The sequence below is a fragment of the Homo sapiens genome, chromosome 4 (genome assembly GCF_000001405.40).
Source record: "Homo sapiens chromosome 4, GRCh38.p14 Primary Assembly".
Classification (NCBI taxonomy): Eukaryota; Metazoa; Chordata; class Mammalia; order Primates; family Hominidae; genus Homo; species Homo sapiens.
Genome location: NC_000004.12, coordinates 136,022,388 through 136,030,543, shown reverse-complemented (window position 1 = coordinate 136,030,543; position 8,156 = coordinate 136,022,388). Strand labels below are relative to the sequence as shown.

At 36.0% G+C, this 8,156-nt stretch overlaps 1 annotated feature.

Annotated features, from left to right (window-relative positions):
- Positions 4,562–5,131: an enhancer, noted in NCBI's record as "OCT4-NANOG hESC enhancer chr4:136946568-136947137 (GRCh37/hg19 assembly coordinates)". NCBI's record gives its function as "activates a minimal SCP1, AML or CMV promoter by ChIP-STARR-seq in naive H9 embryonic stem cells {active_cell/tissue: H9 hESC(naive)}" and the evidence as "EXISTENCE:reporter gene assay evidence [ECO:0000049][PMID:30033119]".

The following is an 8,156-nucleotide window of genomic DNA, read 5'->3' as shown; positions in this document are numbered from 1 at the left end:
TAGTCTTATAAAAATTGGGGTAAATAGAATAACTTTCATATTGAAGATGATAATAAAGATAACAAAGTTTTATATATTTTGCCAAGTTAACACACTTTGTAAATAGCAGAGCCAGACTTCTGCCACAAGCTAACCTACTCCAGAGCTCGTATCTTTATATTATCTTAGTTCATCAAGAATATATTGTTTTTACTTTGCTATGCAGACACAAGAAATTTTCACAGATTACTATATTTAGCACACATTTGTTTAATGCATATGGATTAGCAGGCTCAACAGAACAAAAACAACAAAAAATAGTACCATGTAACCAGTGGTTAGAAAATTCATTCTGGTGGGGAAGATAAACCAGTAAATAGACTATTATAAAACATTATAAAAGCAACAAGAGAAATATCCAGAGAATGATTTGCAATTACAAGGAGAAGTCACCTAACTTAACCTTATGAGAAATTAAAGGCAATATGTAATGTATGCCTTGAAAGATGAGCAAGATTTAGGTCTGTGGACAAAAATTATACCAGGAAAAATGCAGAAGGGCAAAATAAAAATGGGTATAATTAAAGAAAGATTGGAATACAAATATGCAAATATGATTATATGTTCTTCTAATATATACAAATGACCGCCATGCTCATGAAAGACCTGATTAACGGAAGATGTGAATGTTAACTTGAACCTTGAAGTTTAAGATGAGTTTACTTAAAAGGATGAGCAGATATAGAGGGATGTGTTTTTAGAGAGCATGCAGAAAGCCTGTGTAGAAAAGTTTCGACAAAAGTCAACATGGATGAGTTGAATTGCTTCAAAAGGATTTAATGAAAGGAATGCATTAGAAATATTATTTACACTTATATTGTACTAAATAGTTTTGGTGAAATAAATTGGTTAATGATACTACAAAAATTATTAGTTAATTGGACCTGAAAACTGAAGTAAGGTTGAGACAAACAAATGTTATTTAGTGCAGAGTCTTCCATTCATACATAAATAAATACTGAGAACTATAGCATGCTGACTTGGAAATGTGGAGAGAATAGTTGATATTAATTCCAGAGTTAATCAACTGATAGGAATAGAAATATGGAAATCATCTTCTTTCAAATAAATTAAGGTTATAACTTCTATTTGTATAATTGTTGACAATTTACGTAAAACAATGTATACAATGATTATATCCCACACAATAAATTTTTGAAATCTTGTATAAAGATTAAATCAAATTGAAATATGCATATACACATTAGTGTGAAAGAAGTTTTGGAGTTCTATAGAAACTAACTACCAAAAGACATTTTCCACAGCTAATTTGGTTCTAAAGTAGAAGATGACTAGATATTCATAAATCAGGTTCTCCAGATTTTAGAAAAAGTAAGCTTGAGAAATTATAGTATTTGCTATATAAAAGAAGAAGAACTCCTCATTTCAATCAAAATTAAATTTAGGAGTGGCACAGTGGCTCATGCTTGTAATTCCAGCACTTTGGAAGGCCAAGGTGGGCAGATCTCTTGAGTTCAGGAGTTTGAGAGCAGCCTGGCAAACACTAAGAAACCCCTTTACTACTAAAAACACAGAAATTAGCTGGGCATGGTGGTTTGTGCCTTTCTCTGTTTTAAGTTTTTGTTTGTTTTGTCAAAGATCAGTTAGTGGTAAGTATTTGGCTTTATGTCTGAGTTTGCTGTTCTGTTCCATTGGTCTATGTGCCTGTTTTTATAATAGTACCATGCAGTTTTAGTAAACACAACCTGGTAGTATAGTTTAAAGTCAAGAAAAGTATTAATTCACTCCCACACTCCCAAAAAGACATACCTGAGACTGGGTAATTTATAAATTCCAGCTACTTGGGAGGCTGAGGCAGGAGATTACCTAAACATGGAAGGCAGAGGTTGCAGTGAGCCAAGATCACACCACTGCTCTCCAGCCTGGATGACAGAGTGAGACCCTGCCTCAAAAAGAAATAATAATAATAATATAATAAAATAAAATAATTCAATTGAGATTTTGTAAGTATTGAAAAATGAGAAGAATTCATAATGAACATTTATATGCAACAGAAATAATGGATGCATCTATTGAAAAATACTGGCATAATTTTTATTTTATTTTATTTCATTAGTTTTTGGGGAACAGGTGGTTTTTGGTTGCATGGATAAATTCTTTAGTGTTTTTTTCTGCGATTTTGGTGCACCCTTCATACTAGCAGTGTAAACTGTACTCAATGTGTATTCTTTTATCCCTCAACCCACCCCTACCCTTTCCCCTGAGTCCTGAATGCCCATTATATCATTAAGCTTTTACATCCTCATAGCTTAGGTCAGATTTATAAGTGAGAACATACAATATTGGGTTTTTCATTCCTGGGTTGCTTCACTTAGAATAAAGGTCTGAAACTCCACCCAGGTTGCGGCAAATCCCTTTATTTTGTTCCCTTTTATGGCTAAGTAGTATTCCATGGTGTGTCTGTGTGTGTGTGTGTATAACATTTTCTTTATTCACTTCTTATCTGACAGACATTTAGGTTGGTTCCATATTTTTGCAATTGTGAATTGTGCTCATATAAACATGTGCAAATGTCTTTTTCATATAATGACTTATTTTCCTCTGGGTAGATACCCAGTAGTGGAGTGGCTAGATCAAATAGTAGTTCTACTTTTTGTTTTTTTTTTTAGGAATCTCCATACTGTTTTTTATAGTGGTTGTACTAGTTTACATTCCCGTCAGCAGTATAGAAGTTCTCCCTTTTCACCAGATCCATGCCAACATTTATTATTTTTGGATTTCAATTATGGCCATTCTTACAGAAGTAAGGTGGTATCTCATTGTGGTTTTAATTTGCACTTCCCTCATAATTAGCAATGTTGATCATTTTTTCATATGTTTGTTGGTCATTTGTATATCTTCTTTTGAGAATTGTCTATTCATGTCCTTAGCCCACTTTTTGAAGGGATTATTATTTTTTTTTTTCTTATGGCTGATTTGAATTCCTTGTAGATTCTGTGTATTAATCCTATGTCAGATGCGTAGCTTGCAAATATTTTTTCCCACTCTGTGGGTGGTGTGTTTACTCTGCTGATTATTTCTTTCAATATGCAGAAGTTTTTTAGTTTAATTAGGTACCTTCTATTTATTTTTGTTTTTGTTGGCTTTGCTTTTGGGTTCTTGGTTATGAACTCTTTGCCTAAGCCAATGTCTATAAAAGTTTTTCCAGTGTTATCTTCTGGAGGTTTTTTGATTTCAGGTCTTAGATTTAAGTCTTTGATCAATCTTGAGTTGATTTTTTATAAGTGAGAGATGAGGATCTAGTTCCATTCTTCTACATGTGGCTTGCCAATTATCTCAGCATCATTTGTCCTTTCTCCATTTTACATTTTTGTTGTTTTGTCAAAGATCAGTTAGTGGTAAGTATTTGGCTTTATGTCTGAGTTCTCTATTCTGTTCCATTGGTCTATGTGCCTATTTTTATAATAGTACCATGCAGTTTTGGTAAACACAACCTGGTAGTATAGTTTGAAGTCGAGAAAAGTATTAGTTCATTCCCAAACTCCCATAAAGACATATCTGAGACTGGGTAATTTATAAAGAAGAGAGGTTTAATTTACATGGAGTTCCCTATGATCAGTTGACAGAGGAGGAGAAGACAGAGAGTTAAGGGGGAGGTGCTACACACTTTCAAACAAACAAATCTCATGAGAACTCTATCATGAGAACAGAAAAAAGTGGAGTCTGCCCACATGGTTCAATCACCTCCTACCACATCCCTCCTCCAACACTGGGAATTACAATTCAACATGAGTTTGGGTGGGGACACAGAGCCAAACCATATTATTCTGTACCTGGACCCTCCAGAATCTCGTATCTTCTCACATTTCAAAGGACAATCATGCCTTACCAACAGTCCCCCAAAGTGTTAACTCATTCAAGCATTAATTCAAAAGTCCAAGCCCAAAGTCTCATCTGAGACAAAGAAAGACCCTCCTTCTATGAGCCTGTGAAATTGAAAACAAGTTAGTTACTTCTTAGATACAATGAAGATAGAGACATTGGGTAAATAGACCCATTCCAAAAGGGAGAAACCAGGCAAAACAAACGGACTACAGGCCTCATGCAAGTCCAAAACCCAGCAGGGCAGCCATTAAATCTTAAAGCTCCAAAATAAAATACTTGGACTCCCTGTCTCACATCCAAGACACACTGATGCAAGGGGTAGCTCCCAAGGCCTTGGGCTACTCTGCCTCTGTGGCTCTGCAGCATACAGCCCCTACAGCTACCTACATGGCCTGGCATTGTGTGCCTGCAGCTTTTCCTCGAACATGGTAAAAGCTGTCTCTGGATCTACCATCCTGGGGTCTGAAGGATGGTGGCCCTCTTCTCATAGCTTCACTAGACAGGAGCCCTATAGGGACTCTGTGTGTGGGCTCCAACCCCACATTTCCCATCTCCACTGACCTAATAGAAATTGTCCATGAGGGACAACTGTGGCAGACTTCAATCTGGACCACCAAGCATTTACATACATCTTCTGAAATCTAGACAGATTCTCCCAAGCCTCAACTATTGCACTCTGTGCACCTGCAGGCTCAAAGCCATGTGGAAGCTACTAAGGTTTCTGATGGCTTGCACCCTCTGGAACAGTGGACTGAGACATATCTTGGCCTCTTTTAGCCGCAGTTGGAGCTTGAGCACCTGGGATGCAGGGTGCCATGTCCCAAGGCTGCACAGAGCAGTGAAGCCCTGGGCCTGGCCGCCCAAACTAGTTTTCCCTCCTAGACCTCAAGGCCTGTGATGGAAGGGGCTGCTGCAAAGGTCTCTGTAATGCCCAGGAGGCATTTTCCTCATTGTCTTGGCTATTAACATTCCATTCTTCTTTACTTATGCAAATTTCTACAGCCTTGAATTCTTCTCCAGAGAATGGGATTTTCTTTTCTTCCACATGGTCAGGCTGCAAATTTTCCAAACTGTTATGTTCTACCTCCCTTTAAAATATAAGTTCTAGTTTCAGTTCATTTCTTTGTTTATGAAAATGAGCATAGGCATTTAGAAGCAAAGGGGCTACTTCTTGAATGCTTTATTGCTAAGAATTTTTTTTTTTTTGGCTAGATATCATAAATGGTCTCTCTCAAGTTCAAAGTTATAGATCTCTAGAGCAGGGGCACCATGCCACTGTCTCTTTGCTAAAGCATAGCAAGTCTTACCTTTACTCCAGCTTCCAATAAGTTCCTCATCTTCATCTGAGACTACCTCAGCCTGGAATTCAGTGTCCATATCACTATCAGCATTTTGGTCACAACCATTTAACAAGTCTCCAGGAAATTCCAAACTTTTCCTCATCTTTCTCTTTTCTTCTTAGCCCTGTTAGAACTGTTCCAACCTCTGCATGTTACCGAGCTCCAAATTCCCTTCCACATTTTCAGGTGTCTATATAGCAATGCCCCTCTTCCTGGTACCAATTTTCTGTATTATTCTCACACTGCTATAAAGACGTACATGAGACTGAGTAATTTATGAAGAAAAGAGGTTTAATTGCCTTATGGTTCCAAAAGCTATACAGGAAGCATGGCTGCAGAGGCCTTAGGAAACGCAATCATAGCCAAAATTGTAGGGGAAGAAAGTACCATTCAAACATGGTGAAGCAGAAGAGAAAGAGTGAAGCGGGAGGTTTACACACTTTCAAAGAACCAGATCTCATAAGAATTATATTACAAGAACACCAAGGAGGAAGTTTGTCCCCGTGATTCAATCACTTCCCACTGGGCCCCTCCTCCAACACTGGGAAGTACGATTTGACATGAGATTTAGGTGGGGAAAAGAGTCAGAGTATTTCAGGAAATGAGATGCCTCCAGATTTATTCTTTTTGCTTAGTTGTGCTTTAGCAATGTGGGATCATTTTTGGTTCCATATGAATTTTGGGATTTGTTTTTTTCTAGTTCTGTGAAAAATGATGTTGGTATTTTGATGAAAATTACATTGAATCTGTAGATTGCTTTTGACAGTATGGTCATTTTCACAATATTGATTCTATCCCTCCGTAGGCTTGGAATGTGTTTCCATTTGTGTGTGTTACCTATGATTTCATTCATCAGTGTTTTGTAGTTTTCTTTGTAGAGATCTTACACTTCCTTGGTTGGGTATATTCCTAAGTATTTTATTTTTTGGCATCTGTAGTAAAAGTGATTGCGTTATTGATTTGATTCTCAGCTTGGTCATTATTGGGCTATATCAGTGCTTCTGATTTGTGTACATTAATTTTGTATACTGAGACTTTAATGAATTCATTTGTTAGATCTAGAAGCTTTTTGGATGAGTCTTTAGGGTTTTCTCGATATACAGTCATTGGCAAACAGTGACAGGTTGACTTCCACTTTATCAATTTGGATGCCATTTATTTTTTTTTCTCTTGTCTGATTTCTCTGGCTAAGACTTCCAGTACTATGTTGAATAGAAGTGGTGAAAGCAGGAATCCTTGTCTTGTTCCAGTTCTCCAGGGGAATGCTTTCAACTTTTTCCCATTCAGTATAATTTTGGTTGTGGTTTTGTCATAGATACCTTGAGGTATGTCTCTTCCATGCCAGTTTTGCTCAGGGTTTTATTACAAAGAGATGCTGGATTTTGTCAAGTGCTTTTTCTGCATCATTTGAGATGATCATGTGATTTTTGTTTTTAATTCTGTTTATGTGATGTATCACGTTTATTGTCTTGTGTGTATTAAAACATACCTGCGTCCTTGGTGTGAAACCCACTTGATCATGATATATTATCTATTTGATATGATGTTGGAGTTGGTTAGCTAGTATTTTGTTGAGGATTTTTGCATCTATGTTCATCAGGGATATTGGTCTCTAGTTTTCTTTTTCTATTATGTCCTTTCATGTTTTGGTATTATAGTGATGTTGACTTCATAGAATAATTTAGAGACTATTCTCTCTTTCTCTTTTTTTTTATAATAGTTTCAGCAGGATTGGTACCAATTTTTCTTTAAATGTCTGATAGAATTTAGCTGTGAATCCATCTGGTCCTGGGCTTTTTTTACAGGTTTTTTTTTTTTTATTTGTTGTTATCTACTTGCTATTGATCTGTTCAGATATTATATTTCTTCCTGACTTAATCTAGGAGGATTGAATATTTTTAGGAACTTATCCATCTCCTCTAGATTTTCCAGCTTGTGTGCTTAAAGACATTCCTAGTACCCTTGAATGATCTTTTGTATTTATATGTTATTTGTTGTACCATCTCCCATTTCATTTCTAATTGAGCTTATTTGAAACTTCTCTCTTCTTTTCTTGGTTATTTTCATAAATGGTCTATCAATTTTGTTTATCGTTTCCAAAAACCAGCTTTTTGTTTAATTTTTTTTTGTTTCAATTTAATTCAGTTCCGCTCTAATCTTTTTTATGCTTTTCTTGTGCTGGGTTTAAGTTGGTTTGTTCTTGTTTCTCTAGTTCCTTGAGGTGTGATCTTAGGTTGTTTATTTGTGGTCTTTCAGACATTTTGAGTGGGCATTTAATGCTATGAACTTTCCTCCAAACACCACTTTGGCTGTATCCCAGAGGTTTATGTTACTATTATCATTCAGTTCAAAATTTTTTAAAATTTCCATCTTGATTTCATTGTCAACCCAAGATCATTCATGAGTAGATTATTTAATTTCCATGCATTTGTATAGTTTGGGGAATTTCCTTTGGAGTTAATTCCCAGTTTTCTTCCACTGTGGGCTGAGAGGATGCTTAATATGGTTTTGATTTTCTTAAATTTATTAAGATTGTTTTGTGGCCTTTCATATGGTCTGCCTTGTAAAATGTTTCATGTGCTGATGAGAAAATGTATATTCTGCAGTTGTTGGGTAGGATGTTCCATGAATATCTGTTAAATCAATTTGTTCTAGTGTATAGTGTAAGTGCATTGTTTCACTATTGACTTTCTGTCTTGATAAGCTGTCTCGTGTTGTCAGTGGAATATTAAAGTCTCTCACTATTATTGTGTTGCTGTCTATCTCATTTTTATCAGATAATCTGAATATTTATTCTTTGAAATATTCAGCTTTAAAAACATATTTTACAGTCTGTAAAACCACTAAAAAGAAAATATTGCTGATAGTTTACTCAGAGTGCTGCAGGAATAGTCCAAGCCATTGAAGTGATGAGGGCTTTGACTAGGGTTG